General features: G+C 44.0%; 1 long non-coding RNA gene across 2 annotated transcripts, besides 1 other annotated feature; it reads left to right on the forward strand.

The window, feature by feature from the left end:
* Positions 470-670: a silencer, noted in NCBI's record as "peak801 fragment used in MPRA reporter construct". NCBI's record gives its function as "represses an SCP1 promoter by STARR-seq MPRAs in K562 erythroleukemia cells {active_cell/tissue: K562}" and the evidence as "EXISTENCE:reporter gene assay evidence [ECO:0000049][PMID:32103011]".
* LOC124904604 (uncharacterized) lies at positions 1,554-16,982 on the forward strand. 2 transcript variants are annotated; one of them, XR_007067057.1, is made up of 5 exons: positions 1,554-1,939; positions 2,296-2,369; positions 3,929-4,010; positions 13,443-13,546; positions 14,210-14,768. It is a non-coding gene; the product is annotated as an uncharacterized LOC124904604 (long non-coding RNA). The 2 variants fall into 2 exon arrangements; XR_007067056.1 differs by lacking the exon at positions 3,929-4,010 and having other exon boundaries at positions 14,210-16,982.
* The last annotated feature ends 2,359 nt before the right edge of the window (positions 16,983-19,341 follow it).

Genomic DNA, 19,341 nt, shown 5'->3' on the forward strand with positions numbered 1-19,341 from the left:
CTCTGTCACCCGAGCTGGAGTGCAGTGGCATGATCTTGGCTCACTGCAACCTCTGACTCCCAGGCTCAAACTATTCTTCTGCCTCAGCCTCCCAAGTAGCTGGGATTACAGGCACCTGCCACCACGCCTGGCTAATTTTTGTATTTTTAGTTTCACCATGTTGGCCAGGCTGGTCTCGAACTCCTGACCTCAAGTGATCTGCCCGCCTCAGACTCCCAAAGTGTTGGGATTACAGGCCACCGCACCCAGCCCAGCCCTCTAATGATTTAAAGGAAAGTTATGATTTTGTAGATTATCCAGTTTTTCTTGTTACTAATGTGAGAATGAATCTTTTTTCCAGCTTCCTCCATCCTAGGCAGAAATAAAGTCCCAAATCTTTGTTTTTTAACGGGTCATAGAGGACCCATCATCACCCTTTATTCATTCCTTGATCATCTCAGGCTAGAGAAGTCTAGGGATACAGCTATATATAACATGACCAGAAGAATTAACTGGGCCGTAGCATAATCACATATTTGAAACAGGTAAGTGAGTCATCTGTGGCTAGAGACAAGTCCTGGTCACTTCCCTATTCTGCCCCAATACTCAACTTATTACATTCAGATGTTGCTTAATGGCTAGATGCAGCTTTGAGGGTAATGCTTCTATTAAATATGTCAGTTCAGTTTTACAATGGAAAATTCTGAAGATGGATGGTGGTGATGGTTGCACAATATGAAGGTACTTAATGCCACTTAATCATCCCCTTACAATTGTTAAGATGATAAAAATTATGTATATTTTACCCCAATAACAAGATCTTTTAAGGCCGAGCATGGTGACTCCTGCCTGTAATCTCAGCACTTTGGGAGGCTGAGGCAGGCGGATCACCTGAGGTCAGGAGTTCAAGACCAGCCTGGCCAACATGGTGAAACTCCATCTCTACTAAAAATACAAAATTAGCCAGACGTGGTGGCACGCACCTGTAATCCCAGCTACTTGGGAGGCTGAGATAGGAGAATCGCTTGAACCCAAGAGACAGGCAGAGTTTACAGTGAGCCAAGATCACACCACTGCACTCCAGCCTGGGCTACAAGAGTGAAACTCTGTCTCAAAAAAAAAAAAAAAAAAAAAAAAACAAGATTTTTAAAATTAAATTTTACAATCCAGTACAAAATAAAAGCATTGTCCATCCTTGTTTCTCAAAAACCCAGAAAGACCTTGGTGATCTGGTCACCCTTCCACATTCTTATTATTCAGTGACTTCTCATACCAGGTACTGTATGTTGTATAGCACCTGAAGTCTTTCTAAACACATTTCAGTGTGTTTTATTTATTTATTTATTTGAGACGGAGTCTTGCTCTGTTGCCAGACTGGAGTGCAGTGGCATGATCTCAGCTCACTGCAATCTCCACCTCCCGGGTTCAAGTGAGTCCCCTGTCTCAGCCTCCCGAGTAGCTGGGACTACAGGAGAGTGCCATCATGCCTGGCTAAATTTTGTATTTTAGTAGAGATGGCGTTTCACCATGTTGACCAGGATGGTCTCGATCTCCTGACCTCGTGATCCACTCGCCTCAGTCTCCCAAAGTGCTGGGATTACAGGGATGAGCCACCACGCCCGGCCACAGTGGGTTTTATTTAACAGTTAACTGGCTCATGCTTTAGGGGAGGCAGAATAGTTGAAAGAACCAGCTAGGAATCAGAAGACTTGGTCTGTAATTATGACTTGCCTGAAACTCTAAGTGACCTTTGGAAAGCCACGAAACCTTTACTGTCTTTTTTCTTACAGGACAATCATGAGAGATTGATCTCTAAGTCTGAAATTGGCACTCCAGTGTTTTCTGAATGAAAACACACAGTAAATTCTTTGATTCGGGAGTAAAAACTACTCCAAAACTCCACAAGAGGGCAGCTCCTCCACACCTGAATGGCCTCAGAGACCTTCCAGGCACCTTTGAGGTTATTGTAAAACCACTTTTTTATACAATGTTTTATTTTTATTTATCTTAATTATACAAGTAGCACACAAATATATTCCCACATAAAAAGTCCAACATTACAGATCAATTTCAAGTCACTTTTGATTAGTATGCTAATCCTAGTTTCCTCCCCTGTTATCAGGTTGTTTTCTGAGACTTTGAAAACACAACTTCTGCAACTAATTTTTTCAATCTGCATATAATTTGAACATCATTAATATCTATGTATGTATAAGAAATTTGTGGATATTAATATACTTCTCTTAACTCTTTAAAATGCATGTGTCATAATTTACTTGTTTCTTAATGACATTTAGATTATTTATCTTTTTTCAGTATTCAAAGAATGCTGCATTGAATATTTCAGTACTGTACTTTCAAAAAAGTGAAGAGCCTCACAAGACTTCATGGTAATTAATATTTTAATTAATTAATTAGTTTTTAATTTTATTATTATTTTTTGAGACTCCACCCAGACTGGAAAGCAGCGGCGTGATTTCAGCTCACTGCAACCTCCGCCTCCCAGGTTCAAGAGATTCTCCTGCCTCAGCCTCCTGAGTAGCTAGGAGTACAGACGCATGCCACCATGCCCGGCTAATTTTTTGTATTTTTAGTAGAGACGGGGTTTTGCTATGTCGACCAGGCTGGTCTGGAGCTCCTGACCTCAAGTCATCCACCCACCTTGGCCTCCCAAAGTGCTGGGATTACAAGCATGACCCACTGTGCCCAGCGGCAATTAAGATTTTAAAGCTAATTTATTAAGCCAAAGGAGGAATGTTTTAATAATTTTACTAGCCAGAAAAAAATATATAAAGTCAATTCATAGAAAGGGGACTGAAAGAGGGGGAAATGCCTGGCAGTCTTCCTTGGAAGCATTAGGTTACTCCATTCCATGATGTAAATCATTCTGGGATACAATTTCCTGCTAGGGCATTTTATCAGGTATGCTTTTGACTTAGATCAAATTAGACACAAGTAGCAAATGGCTCAGCGAATGCAGATAACTGAAACGAGAAAAGAACGATCCAGTGTTGCACCCAGGAATGTTAGGTGCTGTGTCCTGGTTACTTTTTTTTTTTTTTTTTTTTTGAGACAGAGTCTCACTCTTGTTGCCCAGGCTGCTGGAGTGCAATGGCGTGATCTCGGCTCACTGCAACCTCCACCTCCCGGGTTCAAACGATTCTCCTGCCTCAGCTTCCCAAGTAGCTAGGATTACAGGCACCCGCCATCACGCCTGGCTAATTTTGTATTTTTAGTAGGGATGGGGTTTCTCCATGTTGGTCAGGCTGGTCTCGAACTCCCAACCTCAGGTGATCTGCCTGCTCAGCCTCCCAAAGTGCTGGGATTACAGGCGTGAGCCACGGCGCCCAGCCTCCTGGTTACTTCTGTGTGCCCCACAGTGGAAAGGAAATGTTCGCAGGTAATGAGTCAGAGCAATTCAGATTTCATGTGTAGAAGAAAAGTTCAACATAAACATATTGGACAATATTAATGTAAAATATGGTCAGCCTTCCACATTCTTATTATTCAGAATAAAACTTTTATCTATAGCGAATATTCCTGAAGAACGTTTGGAATTCTTCAGAATCCAAACGTTGAATGTCCCATTCAAGCTGTCAGGTTCCAAATCCTATGTTTCCTGAAGAGACATGGCTGGGATCCGGCTGGGAAAATTCCGAAGGTGCCAACCTTCAGGTCACGGTACCTGACTGGTGCTGCATTCTCCTTCCAGCCTTGAAGATTCTGAAAGTGGAGGTTTCTTAAGCAGATACAGAGCTAATGGCCAGGTTTCTTGGGAGTACATTACAATAAATGCAAGAGGTGCAGAAAGCAAGAAATTGCTCTGGATCTTAGAAAAATGGGCTTGGAGCTCCATTAGTGTCTGCTACCTTCTGCAACCCAGATTCCAAATTGTTTTCCAGACTTGTGTTAGAGTTATTGGTGTCAGAACATCTTTTTTCATCCCCAGGGATAAGACACAAACACCTGCAAAGCTGACTCATGAAAGGAGACAAGGCACTACTATGACAGTGGATTGTGGGAGCTGTGAGGTAGGACCTTAAATTTTTTTGGTTTTTTTTGAGTCTCTCTCTGCTGCCCAGGCTGAAGTGTAGTGGAGCGATCTCGCTTCGCTGCAACCTCCGCCTATGGGGTTCAAGCGATTCTCCTGCCTCAACCTTTCAAGGAGCTGGGATTACAGGCACACGCCACCACACCTGGCTAATTTTTGTATTTTTAGTGGAGACAAGGTTTCGCCATGTTGGCCAGGCTGGTCTCGAACTCCCGACCACAAGTGATCCACCTGCCTCAGCCTCCCAAAGTGCTAGGATTACAGGCGTGAGCCACTGCACCCAGCCAGTAGGACCTTAAATTATCTCCCCTGATAGCCCAGAGGAGCTGGAGGCAGCCTGTTTGCCTTCACTCCAGGATGCCATGGCGTGACTTCTAAAAGGACCGTCTGTGATAGCATTTGGTGAGCAGGAAAGAAGTAGTCTGACGTTTGGAGGGGTAGAGTGTGCATTCTCCATTTTGATCTGTGACAATCCATACAGTGGAGGCAACAGGGGGGTCTGGACATGTAAGAGCTTCTGGGAGGAGGAGACTGTTTAGAGGGATGTCTCAGAAAATATTTTCCCTAAGACTGCAAGATTTCCCACCAGCAAGTTTTTTATTTAAAATTCAAGAAGGAGCACATGATTTTGTAATGAAATGAGCATGGTTAAATCCAGCAGCTATGCATGTTATTTTGCTTCTCTGAGTTTCGGTTCTCTTTTTTAGAAGGAATAATTGAGAAAATATATGTGACTAGCACAGGGTCAAGCATACTTAATAAGTACACTTCCTCCCTATTCCTGAGAAAGTTTATAATGCTGAAGAAGCTGATGTTGATGGGCCAAGTCTGTTGTCTCGCCCAGCGTTGTCTTGTTCATGGATTCGTGGAGCTGCTCTGATTCTTCGGCCCTTCATCAACAAAATGGTGAAAACAGTAACTCACACTTGTTGAGTGGTAGGTGCCAGGCACTGTTCTAAGTCTTTTTTACATAGATCAACTAACACATTTGATGCTCATAGCCCCACTTCATAGCCCCATCTACATAGGTAGATATTATTATTTTACACACAAGATAACAGAGACAGAGAGAGGGGTACCTCAACTGGCCCAAGGTCACACAGCTAGTAGGTAAGAGAACCAGAGTTCACATCCAAGTAATCTAATTCTAGAGTCCACATTCTCTCACTCTCTCACTCTCTTTTTTTTTTTTTTTTTTTGGTGGAATGTTAAAATATAAAACCAATAAAGAACATAGTAGTTGCTTGACATAGCAAACAACCATTGTGGAGAAAAGGTGCTCATTCATTATAGGTAGGGTCATGTAATTAATGCTTATCTATGGAAGGCCGGTGGACACTCAGTAGTTGCTTTAAGCACTTTTAGTTTAGCCACTTCAAGCACTTTTAGTTTGGGGCAGTTAAGAGCAAATGTGTTGTTTCCATCTATTTTCTCATCTGAACTTCTAGAAACAAAGAACTCAGATGACAGAGTTGCAAGTCTGAAACAACTTCTGTACCTGAATTTTTCCTGGAGAGGAGCCAAACAGGAGAAACTCCCAACATGCGTTGAACTGTGATGACGTTTTTATGTTCAATTATTAATTTTGGGGTTATTTCTTTTTATGTCTTTTTTTTAAGAGACAGGGTCTCGCTCTGTCACCCAGGCTGGAGTGCAATGGCACAATAATAGCTCATGACAACTACAAAGTCCTGGGCTCAAATGATCCTCCTGCCTCAGCCTCCCAAGTAGCTGTGACTATAGGCACAAGCCAAAATGTCTGACTAAATTTTTTGTAGAGACAGGGTCTTACTATGTTACCTAGGCTGGTCTCAAACTCCTGGCCTCAAGCAATCCTCCTGCTTCAGCCCCTCAAAGTGCTGGGATTACTGATGTAAGCCACTGCTCTTGGCAGGGGGTGTGTTTCTTATTGCAGCATAGCATTGCCTATCCTAACTAACAGGGTCATTAAATGTTAATAATAATAATTTTTTTCTCAAATAAAATATAGATAACCATAGATGGAAAATCCCATGAAGCTAGTATTTAAAAATAGAGATTTCTTTCTTCTTGAGCAACAATAACAACAAAACATTATGAGAGCTCCAATGCTCAAGCAATTGGTTAAATGTTACTGGGTGAATAAAGGACCCAAGAGGCTGAGAAAGGGGCAATCGTATCTTTGTGCAAGATTTGCCAGGACCCATTTTGGACTTCAGCATTTAGCCAAGCTGGCCAAGCCTGGTGCAGAGCTTTATGAAACAACTTAAGTCACTGCCCTGGCTCACTCCACCGTGCCTAGGCAGAGTCAGGGAAGACACTGCTCATGGCGGAGTGGCCTAGGATATAGAAGCCTACTAAGAAATCCTTCTGACTGCAGAGGCCAAGTTCTCTCCATTACCTGGGAGCTCAAGGACTCAGAGTGAGCTCAGAAACCATTGCCCCAGCTTCCTAGGCAGGAGGAAATGCAAAATTAAATGAAAAAAAATGAGATTTTTTTTTAATAGGTAAAAAGCAGGAAACTATTTTTCCTTCTGTCCCTCAACAGACCTAGAAATGTTTGGCCATTTTCCTCTCCATCATCCTCATTTGACTGAAGACTCTTCAGATGTCAAATAACTCATCATGGAATGGTCCCAGAGCAGTCCCCACAGCAATGAGACCTCTAAAGATGGTGGGCCATCTAGTAACAATGGAACAGATACTAATGGTCCTGTTTATTTTTTTTGTTTCTTCATTTGTTTAGAGACAAGGTCTTGCTCTATTGCCCAGGCTGGAGTGCAATGGCAAGATCATGGCTCTCTACAGCCTCAACCTCCTGGACTCAAGCGACCCTCCTGCCTTAGCTTCCTGAGTAGCTGGGACTACAGTGCATGCCACCATGCCAGCTAATTTTTTTAAAAAATTTTTTGTAGAGATGGAATCTCCCTGTTTCCCAAGCTGGTCTCAGTCTCCTGGCCTCAAGCAATCCTCCTGCTTCAGCCTCTGAAAGTGCTGGGTTTACAGGTGTGAGCCAATGTGCCTAGCCTGATCCTGTTTATTCTCAGAAAAAGGATGTGTGTGAATCATGGAAGGACCACTGTGCTCCTGGATCTGGGGCAAGGAAGTGGTCCACGTCAAGAGCAGCATCTTTTTCTAGACAGGGAAGCTAAGTCCTAAAACCATCCTGCATAAAAGAAGTGCACTAGGATGGAACATCCTGGTCTGGGAACAAAGAGAACTGGGTCTGTCTAAGCATCTCTTTGGTCCTAGGCAAGTAAGTTAATCTCTATGGACCTCAGTTTCATCATCTATTACATGCAAACTCTTAGTTATGATAATGGTCCTACCTACATTCCTGAAACAGCAGAAGTATGATAAAATATGCTGGAAAACTGCAGAGTACAATGATACTTTGATAACACATCAGGATTTTAATGCTAGTTTCACCTCTTTATCTGGGCAAATTGCTCAACCTTTCTATTTCTCACTATGAAAAATGGCAACATATTTCAGGGTAAGGTGACCCAATCTTCTGTCCGCTTTATAACTGTGGTATTAAAATGTCCTTACTTGAGAATCACTTGAACCCGTGAGGCGAAGGTTGCAGTGAGCCGAGATCGTGCCACTGCACTGCAGCCTGGGTGACAGAGCGAGACTCTGTCTCAAAAAAAAGTCCTCGCTTGAGACTAATTCTATCCAGAGCTCCTGAGCTAAGGCCTATGAGACCATATTATAGTGAAGACTAGTATTACAGTACCACATTGTAAACCTTAATTTCTTTGGCAAAGATAAATTCTTAACTAATAGTGAGCAAAGTGACTTTCTCTGACCAATATACAGATGGTGATTCCATTTCCAACCTCAGAACTGACCTCCTGCTGCCCAGGGAGCGGGAGTGGGAAGAGGGGAGGGAGAGGAGAGGCGTGATGTCACTCAGCCCTACAGAGGGGCCTCCCTTCAGGCTCCTGCAGGCTATTTGGAAGCAGCTGGAAGAACGAGTTAGGTCCTGGTTGCAGGATTTTTTTTTTCTTTTTTAAGTCAGACATAGACACAGATGTTGAGTAAAATGCTGCCTCCACTGAAAATCCCAAGCCTCAGACCTTTCAAGCAGAGGAAGAACTTAGTAAAGTTCTAGAGGTACCTTTCTGGCTGACTAGGGGAATAAAAGAAGAGCAGCTATGGCTTGCCTTGCCATTTGCTTATTCTTTTATACTTGAAATCGTCACAGCAACCAGACAAGAGGAAGTTGCTGGAATCTGGGCAAAGTTCCCAAAGAAGATCCCAGTGAGACACCATTGGACTTCTATTAGGGGGACACCACTGGACTTCTGTTAGGGGGACACCACTGGACTTCTGTTAGGGGGACACCACTGGACTTCTGTTAGGGGGACACCGTTGGACTTCTGTTAGGGGGACACCGTTGGACTTCTGTTAGAGGGACACCATTGGACTTCTGTTAGGGGGACACCATTGGACTTCTGTTGGGGGGACACCATTGGACTTCTGTTGGGGGGACACCATTGGACTTCTGTTGGGGGGACACCATTGGACTTCTCTTGGGGGGACACCATTGGACTTCTGTTGGGGGGACACCATTGGACTTCTGTTAGGGGGACCTCTGATCCTATTCTTGGAAAAAACAAAAAGCAACCAATGGCCTTCTCTCTGTTCTGAATTCCTAAGACATGTAGAACTCTGAGTCACATTCTTAGGCACTTGTTTCAGAAGAAATTTATGCTGAAATTCTTGACAGGTGATAGTGGAGCGCTACCCCCAGAGAGACGTTCCTGCCACTGCTGGACGAAAACAAAGTTCCTGGTCCCACAGGAGCTGACCATGGTCTAGGTCCTCACCACCGTTCCATAGGTGACACAGTGTACGTGCGCACGAGGCTGAGGTGGGAGGGTCACTTGAGCCCGGAAGGTGGGGGCTGCAGTGGGTTTTGATCATGCCACTGCACTCCAGCCTAGGCAGCAGTGTGAGACTCTATCTCAAAAAAAAAAAAAAAAAGAGAAAGTGAGAGCTCCCAATGTTGCTGTAACAGCAGGTTCTCTGTGTTATTTTAACGTTTTACTGGTACTGTATTTCAATTATTAAATTTCTGTAATAAGTTCCCAAAATAACCTTTGGAAACTAGTCCAGATAACTTTGTTTCCAGGTATTTGTAAAGCCCACTGACAGCATTTTGCCCCTAAGTGGTTCTTTCCCTCTGATGTCAGGGAGGGAATTTTCAGTAGGAAACGTTTAGTCCACCTGCGAGAATCACCGAGCAGAGGAACCAGGCCTTTCCCTCACCCAGCTTCCGCCTACACAGGACAACACAAGGCAAGCCAAATGCTGCTAACTTAACAGATAAAGCTGAAGGGATTGAAGTTGTCACCTGCCAGCTGAACTCAATAAAAATGATATGGAACTCAAAATAGCTGATAGGGGCTCAGTAAATAAACTTGGCTCAGCTGGGCGTAGTGGCTCACACCTATAATCCCAGCACTTTGGGAGGCTGAGGCAGGCAGATCACTTGAGGTCAGGAGTTCAAGACCAGCCTGGACAACATGGCAAAACCCCGTCTCTACTAAAAATACAAAAATTAGCTGGGCATGTTGGCATGCACCTGTAGTCCCATCTACTCAGAGGCTGAGGCACAAGAATCACTTGAACCTGGGAGGCAGAGGTTGCAGTAAGCCAAGATCATGCCACTGCACTCCGGCCTGGGTGACAGAGTGAGACTCCATCTAATAATAATAATAATAATAAACTTGGCTGGTCAGTCTTCCTGAACTGGACACAACCTCTCGAAGGTTTTGGCTGATGCAGACAGTTTCTTCAGAGCATCTATTACAATATTTTAATGAACTCTTTTAGAACACTCTGCATTCTCAGAACTGCTAAGGTTAATGCAGTGCAGACTAAGGACGACTAAGGGAAAACCAGTCAGGCTTAGATCCCAATTCCCGTCAGACTCCAGATGCTGTGGGGGCTCTAGTGGCTTCACCGAAAAGTGAGTCTTAATACAACTTACCCCTTTGTTCCCAATAGGTGCACCCCAAACTCCATGCACTCCCCATTCTTCAGCCCAGTAAGATGAATTTCTACATTAATTCATTTAGAAATAGTTAATAATCTCTAATTAGCATAATTAGAAAGCATTAAGAAGCATCCATTATGTATCAGCCACTGTGCTGGACTATGCACATAAATATCTGCCAAACTGCAGAGTTTTTACTCTTGGGGACTCACCAACCTTAAAAAAATGAGAGCCTGGGCCAGGCACGGTGGCTCACGCCTATAATCCCAGCACTTTGGGAGCCCGAGGCAGGCGGATCATGAGGTCAGGAGATCGAGACCATCCTGGCTAACACGGTGAAACCCCGTCTCTACTAAAAATACAAAAAAAATTAGCCGGGCGTGGTGGCGGGCGCCTGTAGTCTCAGCTACTCGGGAGGCTGAGGCAGGAGAATGGCGTGAACCCGGGAGGGGCGCAGGGTAGTAAGGATGGCCTAGAGAGAGAGCCTCAGCAAAGGACACTGAGGCCGTTTCCTGCTTGGTTTCTCTTTTTATGCTGTTTCTTGAGAAGAAAAGTTTTGATTGCTCTTGGAAATTTTTTAAGTACTAACTTTTTTTTGAGCAAGAAATGGTTAGTTAACCTGTGTGATGGTTTCATGTGATGAGGTGGAGATCTATTTTACTGTCTTCTGTGGTAGATGTGGGCAGGTCCTTGAGGAGTTTGATTTCACCCCCTGCGTGTGGGCAGGAGCCCCGAATATGGCTCTCATCCTCCAGTAGGCTAGAACAGCTCCTTATATGGTGGTTTCAGGGCTGCATTCCAAGGGGGCAAAAGTGGAGGGTGCAAGTTCTCTTGTGACCTTGGCTCTGGACGTGCCCGATACCATTTTTTTTCTTTTTTTTTTTTTTGAGATGTAGTCTCACTCTGTTGCCCAGGCTGGAGTGCAGTGATACGATTATTAGATGGAGTGAGACTCCATCTAATAATAATAATAATAATAATAATAATAATAATAATAATAATAAACTTGGCTGGTCAGTCTTCCTGAACATTCACTCTGCTTCTGGCTGGACTCAGGAGAATGCCCCATGACTCTCCACCCTCACTATGTTCCTTGACTCTGTTCCCTTGGTAAGTATGGCTGTTTAGGCAGAACTTACTCTGTTCTTATGAGGTGTACAGAGGTTTAGTCCTTACCCTGTGACCCACCTCAACATCCTCAGAGACCAGATTCAGAAGGTTTCTGCTCTAGAGTAAGTGTGCGCCCAATATAGTACTTACCTACACACACACACACCCCCACACACACAATTTATATATGTACACATGTCAATGTTATGTAGAAAGTGGCATACCATAGATTCATAGTAAAATACACATTTCCAAACTTTATTTCATTCATTAAACAGGTTTTGGCTGGGCACGGTGGGCCACGCCTGTAATCCCAGCACTTTTAGGAGGTCGAGGTGGGCGGATCACCTGAGGTCAGGAGTTTGAGACCAGTCTGTCCAACGTGGCGAAACCCCATCTCTACTAAAAATACAAAAATTAGCTGGGCATGGTGGCACGTGACTAATCCCATCTGCTTGCGAGGCTTGAGGCAGGAGAATCGTTTGAGCTGGGGAGATGGAGGCTACAGTGAGCCAAGATTGAGGCACTGCACTCCAGCCTGACTGACAAAGTGAGACCCTGTCTCAAAAAAAAAAAAAAAAAAAGCAGGTTTCTATTGTATGGTCACAATAGGTGAGCACATTCCCATGCGATGTGATAGGGGCATACAGTACTCTAGACAGCACTTAAGGCATCTAACTCAGATTTGAAGTCCAGGAATAACTCCTGAAGGAAGTGACCTCTAAGCAAATATATGGTGAGAAATAATTAGCCAGACCAAGAAGACAAGGAAGAATATTCTAGGCACAGCAAACAGGATGGATTGTTTGAAGAGCTATAATAATTTTGGTGTGGCTGGAGCTTTGAGAAGTGAAACAGATAAGGAGCAGTGACATACGAGGCCGGAGGGGCGTAAGGACCTTGAGAGACAGTTAGGAAGAGGGGACTTTATCCTGAGAAGAATGGAAGGGACAGTAAATGCTTCTTTCTTTCACATATATTGTTAAAGCAAACTAAATATGGCCTGAGAAGGACTTCATACTTTTATATTTGAATCCTTGTGGATGAACTATAACCTAGCTTAATAGGCAGACAAGATTGAAAACCTAATTTAGGGCCGGGTGCAGTGGCTCACCCCTGTAATCCCAATCCTTTGGGAGGACAAGGCAGGTGGATAACTTGAGGTCAAGAGTTTGAGACCAGCCTGGGCAACATGGTGAAACCCCGTCTCTACTAAAAATACAAAATTAGTCAGGCATGGTGGCAGGTGCCTGTGATCCCAGCTACTTGGGAGGCTGAGGCAGGAGAATCGCTTGAATCTGAGAGGCAGAGGTTGCAGTGAATGAGATTGCGTCATTGCACTCCAGCGTGGGCGACAAGAGGGAAACTCTGTCCCCCCACAAAAACAACAACAACAACAAAAACTCACAATATGTATTTATAGTTGAGGGTGCTGTGGTCTCATTTCCATTTTAGAAAGATCGCTCTGCCTGAGAAAGCCATTGGAAGTTTTTTATTTCCTTTTTAGAAAGGCGACTGTCTGTACATTCCTGAAGATGTTATATGAAAATATGGAAACAGGTCATTGGAAGGTCTTAAGGAAGAGAGCGATAAAATGAGATTTGCATTCTAGAGCTATGATGTTCTAGAAGAAGCTTAAGAGAGCATAAAAAGATGAGGAGCTGAGGAGCTGGAGGAGCTTTGGAGTGGAGATGAGGCTCCAAGCCTCAGCTCTGTGTCCTCTGTGGGATTCACTGGGGGCAGTACCAGTCCCCAAAACAGGACAAGTTTATGGAGACGCTGGACTCTGGCACTACCCAGGGCACTGCAGTTCCATTGTCCCCCCACAGCTCAGGTGAAGCCTAGGAGGAAGGCAAAGTGCTGATTGGCTACAGGAAGGGATCCCTATGGCCCCTCCCCCAAATGTGGGATACTGGCTACAGAATGTCCCAATAGTTCAGGCCGGGTGCGGTGGCTCATGCCTGTAATCCCAGCACTTTGGGAGGCCTCGGCGGGCCGATCACTAGAGGTCAGGAGTTCGAGACCAGCCTGGCCAAAATGATGAAACCCTGTCTCTACTAAAAATACAAACATTAGTCAGGTGTGGTGACACACACCTGTAATCCCACCTACTCCAGAGGCTGAGGCAAAAGAATCTCTTGAACCCAGGAGGCGGAGGTTGCAGTGAGCCGAGATCGGGCCACTGCGCTCCAGCTTAGCGACAGAGCGAGACTGTCTCAAAAATAAAAAGAATGCCCCAGTAGTTCTATCCTGATTGAAGAGGTTTCCTTCAGAGAAACCTGAAGAACACTGGGGACCCTTTTTGTATCCTCTTAGTTCAGAAAGACCCCTGTGTGAGGAGCACACGTGTGACCTTCTGGAGCGTCTGGGCACTCCTCTCTGCTACAGAACTACAAATGCTGTTTGGAGACCAGGAGCAGGTGAGTGAGGACAAGACGGAGGTGCTGCACATGAGGCTGCAGGCCTAGGGAGGAGGTGAGGATGGTCCAGGAAGCAGGGATGTGGAGAAGCCCCCTGAAAGAGCTGCACAGAATCACAAGGCAGCGAGGACACAGAAACCACTCTAGGTATGACAATCAGGGGCATTTAATGCAGGGAATTTGTTATAAGATGTTGAAAAGCTGGAGGAGCAAAACAGAATATGGGGTAGCTGAAAGACAAAAGGGGGTAAAGAGGGATACCCAGAGATCAGAAAGAGAAGGACAGAGAGAAAGATTAAGATATGGGCTGGGCATGGTGGCTCACACTTGTAATCCCCGCACTTTGGGAGGCCCAGGTGGGTGGATCACGACATCAGGAGTTCGAGACCAGCCCGACCAACATGGTGAAACCCCATCTCTACTAAAAATACAAAAAATTAGCCAGGTGTGGTGGTGGCAGGTGCCTGTAATCCCAGCTACTCAGGAGGCTGAGGCAGGAGAATTAGTTGAACCTGGGAGGCGGAGGTTGCAGTGAGCTGAGATCACTGCACTCCAGCCTGGGTGACAGAGCGAGACTCCGTCTCAAAAAAAAAAAAAAAGATTAAGGTATGGAAAAAAGGGCTGTAGCCTCCAAGCCAGCGCCTGTTGTTGCATTTATTTTAGGGATATCCACGGAATCTGAAAGTGCTTCTCTCCTTCCGTCCTCTCAACCTTCCATCACTGCACTGCTGTGGCTAAAAGGAGACCAAAAGACTGACACCAGGTGGCAAAGGGAATCTAAGAGATGCAGCAGGCAGTGCCCCAGCCCTCTCAGTAATTAGCAGTGCACAGAAGGGAGCAGAGGAAAAAAGCAGGTAAATGACCAGTACCTTCCCATTTGCTCCAGCTTGTGTGTTTTATTGTCACAAAGTATTTAAATATTTTTTAAGTTCCACCAGACATTAATTTTACTGCCTGATGAAATCAGAATTCATATAGAGCTATCCATAAGTGTACTATTTTCTTTATTATTTTTTTTTGAGATTTGCTGGGAATGAACTCGTTTTTTTCTTTGTCTGAAAATGTCTTTATTTACCTTCATTCTTACAGATCTTTTTATTCAGTATAGAATTTTAGCTTTGCAATTACTTTCTTTCAGTGTATTAACGGGTCTTTCTGTATTCTATTTGCGTAGCCATGGCTGCTTTGTTTTGTTTTGTTTTGTTTTGCTTTGCTTTTTGAGCTCTGTTACCCAGGATGGAGTACAGTGGTGAGATCTTGGCTCACTGCGGCCTCCGCCTCCCTGGTTCAAGTGGTTCTCCTGCCTCAGCCTCCAAAGTAGCTGGGACTACAGGCACACGCCACCATGCCTGGCTAATTTTTGTATTTTTAGTAGAGACGGGGTTTCACCATGGTGGCCAGGCTGGTCTCAAACTCCTGACCTCAAGCGATCCACCCACCATGGCCTCCCAAAGTGCTGGGATTACAGGCATGAGCCACTGCGCCCGGCCATCATGGATGCTTTGAAGGTAATCTCTCTCTTCCTCTCTTTCTCTCCATCTCTCCTCTCCTCTCTTTCTCCCCATCTGTCTCCTGTCTCTCTCTTCTTTCTCTCCCTCCCTCTCTCCTCTTTCTCTTCATTTCTCTATTTCTCTCTCTCCATCTCTCTCTCTACCCGCCCCCGCTATTTCTCTCTTCCTCCCTCTCCCTCAATATTTTAACATATCCTTTGTCTTTGATTATCTACAGTTTTATTGTGATTTTTTTGGTATGATTTACTTTTCATTTATCTTTCTTGGCATTCATTGGGTCTCTTGAATCTGTAAATTAGTGCTGTGGGCCAGGTGTGGTGCCTCATGCCTGTATTCCCAGCACTTTAGGAGACTGAGGCGGGCGGATCACCTGAGGTCGGGAGTTCGAGACCAGCCTGACCAACATGGAGAAACCTGGCCTCTACTAAAAATACAAAGTTAGCCAAGTGTGGTGGCACAGGCCTGTGATCCCAGCTACTCGGGAGGCTGAGGCAGGAGAATCGCTTGAACCCGGGAGGTGGAGGTTGCAGTGAGCTGAGATCGCGCCATTGCACTCCAGCCTGGGCAACAAGAACGAAACTCTGTCTCAAAAAAATAATAAAAATAAATAAATAAATAAATAAATAAATAAATAAATAAATAAGTGCTGTCCACCCTTTCTGTAGAACTCTCCGACATTATCCCTTGAAATATCGCCTCTGCCAATGCGATATTTCAATTGGAAGGTTCCTCTCCTTCTGGAACCTTCCAATTCTGTTCTCCAAGTCTCTTATTCTCTCTTTCCTGTTCTCCATCTTTCTCTCTCTCATTCTATATAATATCTTCTGGCCTACCTTCCAAATCTGTTATTTTTATCTTCTGTATTCAATCTGCTTTAAAACTTCATTTTGCTGAGTTATTAATTTGGGTTATTTTATTTTTTCATGGGTAGAATTTTTATTTGGTTCATTTACAAATCTGTTATATCACATGTCATCATCTCCCATTCACCAAGAATTTTTTTAAAGCCTGTCATATGTTTCAAATAATAATAATTACATATAATCTGTTTGTAATAATTCTAGCATATGAAGTCTTGTGGGGGGGGTCTGTTATCTGCTGGGTTTTTGTTAGTTCTTGTTCATTGCATCTTATTTTTTTGTTGTACTAATTTATCTTTGATTTAGTGCTATCTTTGCCCTTGAAAATTTATTCGTGCGGTCTTTCAGAGGCCTGGGATGAAGATGCCTTTATCCAGAGAGGTTTTGCATTTACAACTGCCAAACACCTGGGTACTAGGAATCTGTAACCATGTTTAAGTAAACATGTCTCTTATACCTAATACTGTGAATTTGGGCTGTGAGCACTCACCAGGGACAGCATTTGTTTTTCAAGTTTGGGGATCAGCCTTCTTCCCCACTCAACCCCAAATTCTTCCCATTCAAGAGGGTACAGGAAAAGAGGTCTGGGTATACTTCTGGTTCTGCCCATCCTTCTGAGTCTCAGCTCAGTTTCCCAGCTGCCTCCAGGCAGATCTGCAGATGCTCTCAGTGCAAGAGTGGACTGTGCTCTTCCCACTTTCTCTTGTTTCTTGACCTCCAAATTTCAAACTCTATTTTTATATGCTTTAAAGAACTTTTCCATACTCTCTCATTTTAACTTGTCTTCCCATAGGAATGTGGTCCAAATAACAGCTTGCTGTCATCAAAAATGGAAGGTCCCCCTTGTCATCTTTCTACATTTTTTTCATTTCTATTAAGTGTTGGATCAATCCAATGTCAGTTAGAGGCCAAGAAAGTGTTTGTGTTTCCGCAATTCTGATCATTTCCACCTATTACACACAGTCGGTGTGAAAGTCAAATAAGATACTAAAGGTAAAAGTTCCCCTTTCTTTAAATTTGTAAATACTGTCTTTCCAAAGAGAATATAAATTCCTTTACATATAATTTAGCTTTGTTTCTTGTATCACACATAGCACTATTTCTTGCAAATAATAAGGAATCTAAAAATATACTTCATATGTGGTTGTTGTGAGAGGTGTGAGTAGAAAATTATCTATTTGTCCCAGGTAATACGGTAAGCCCTCACTTAACATCATTGATAGGTTCTTGGAAACTGCGACTTTCAGCAAAATGACTTATAACGAAACCATTGTTTTTCTTCATAAACGATGTTATTATGAAACAAGATTTGAGGACCTGCTATATGTCATTTTTCTTAAAGCTACACTTTTCTAGAATCTATTGAGAACATTCAGTGAAGCCATACATATTATACTAATTTCACAGCTCTTAAAATAATAATCAGGCTGGGCACCGTGGCTCACGCCTTTGGGAGGCGGAGGTGGGCAGATCACTTGAGGTCAGAAGTTTGGGAGGCCAAGGTGGGAGGATCACTTCAGGTCAGGAGTTTGAGACCAGCCTGGCCAACGTGGTGAAACCCCGTCTCTACTAAAAATACAAAATTAAGTGGGCACGGTGGCTGGCGCCTGTAATCCCAGCTACTCGGGAGGCTGAGGCAGGAGAATTGCTTGAACCCAGGAGGAGGAGGTTACAGTGAGCTGGGATCATGCCACTGCATTCCAGCCTGGGCAACAGAGTGAGACTCCATCTCAAAAATAAATACATAAAAATTAAAATTAAAAAACCCTCCAAAACAATAGTGGATTGGTTAAATAAATGATGTGTTAATTATATAATGGAATAAGTTATAAGCCACTAAAAATTATGTTGAAGAAGACTATGTAATGGCATGGTAAAATAATTTTGATACATTAAATAAGAAAAAGTAAGTTACAAACGGTATATATGCTATACATGTCATCAGACCTGTGTCCAAACTCAGAGAATGTACACACCAAGAGTGAATCCTATTGTAAACTCTGGACTCGGGGTGATAATGATGTGTCAATGTTGGTTCACAGGTTCTAACAAATGTCCCTTCTGGTGAGGGATGTTGGTAGTGGGAGAGGCTGCATGTGTGGGGATAGGGACTATGTGGGAAATCTCTGTACCTTCTGCTCAACATTGCTGTCAACACAAAACCACTCTTTTAAAAAGCCTCTTTAAAATTATGTAATTTAAAGAATTTAGGGGCTGGGCACGATGACTCCTGCCTGTAATCCCAGCACTTTGGGAGGCCAAGGCGAGCGGACCACTTGAGGCCAGGAGTTCGAGACCGGCCTGACCAAAATGGTGAAACCCTGTCTCTACTAAAAACACAAAAAATTAGCTGGGTGTGGTGTCACACACCTGTAATCCCAGCTACTCGGGAGGCTGAGACAGGAAAATCGCTGAACCTGGGAGGCGGAGGTTGCAGTGAGCTGAGATCATGCCATTGCACTCCAGCCTGGGCGACAGAGCAAGACTTCATTTCAAGAAACAGAAAACAAACAAACAAAAAATTAGCCGGGCACAGTGGTGGTGCTTGTAATCCCAGCTACTCAGGGGGCTAAGGCAGGAGGATTGCTTGAACCCTGGAGATGGAGGCTGCAGTGAGCTATCGTGCCATTGCACTCCAGTCTGGGCAACAAGAGCAAAACTCCATCTAACAAAAAAAAAAAAAAGAATTTAGGGAATTATTTATGGGGAAGTGATATTCCTGAGCATTTTGTATTCAAAAAATAAAATAAAAATGAAGGCAGCATTGTTTTCCTAGGAAGTGTGTGTGTGTGCATACACGTGTGTGCAAGTGTGTGTCTAGGTCTGAGCAAAGTTAAGTGAAAGGTGCTTATCACTGCATTTTGCTTAATTTTTTTCTCTATTCTTGTGACATGTTATGTCGCTACATTTTATTTTTTTATTATTATTATTTTTTAAGATGGAGTCTCCCTGTCTCGCCCAGGCTGGAGTGCAGTGGCACAATCTCTGCTCACTGCAAGCTCCACCTCCCGGGTTCACGCCATTCTCCCACCTCAGCCTCCTGAGTAGCTGGGACTACAGGCGCCCGCCACCACACCCGGCTAATTTTGTTTTTGTATTTTTAGTGGAGACAGGATTTCACCGTGTTAGCCAGGATGGTCTCCATCTCCTGACCTCGTGATCTGCCCACCTCCAGAAGTGCTGGGATGAGAGGCGTGAGCCACCACACCCGGCCTATGTCACTACATTTTAAACAGCATCTCCCTTTTCTCCAAGTTTCAAATCTAATTTTCTCCAAGAAGTAGATCATTCTAAGGATAGGAAATGATGTATCCAACGCAGCAGAGGTTCTCTCACTCTTGCTGTTGCTCTGCTGCTGACATCTGCTATTTCCTTCGGTCTAATGCAAAGACAAGTGGCCAGGGCTATGACCATGGCCTGAAGA

This window comes from Homo sapiens, chromosome 1 (assembly GCF_000001405.40).
Source record: "Homo sapiens chromosome 1, GRCh38.p14 Primary Assembly".
In the NCBI taxonomy this organism is placed as follows: domain Eukaryota; kingdom Metazoa; phylum Chordata; class Mammalia; order Primates; family Hominidae; genus Homo; species Homo sapiens.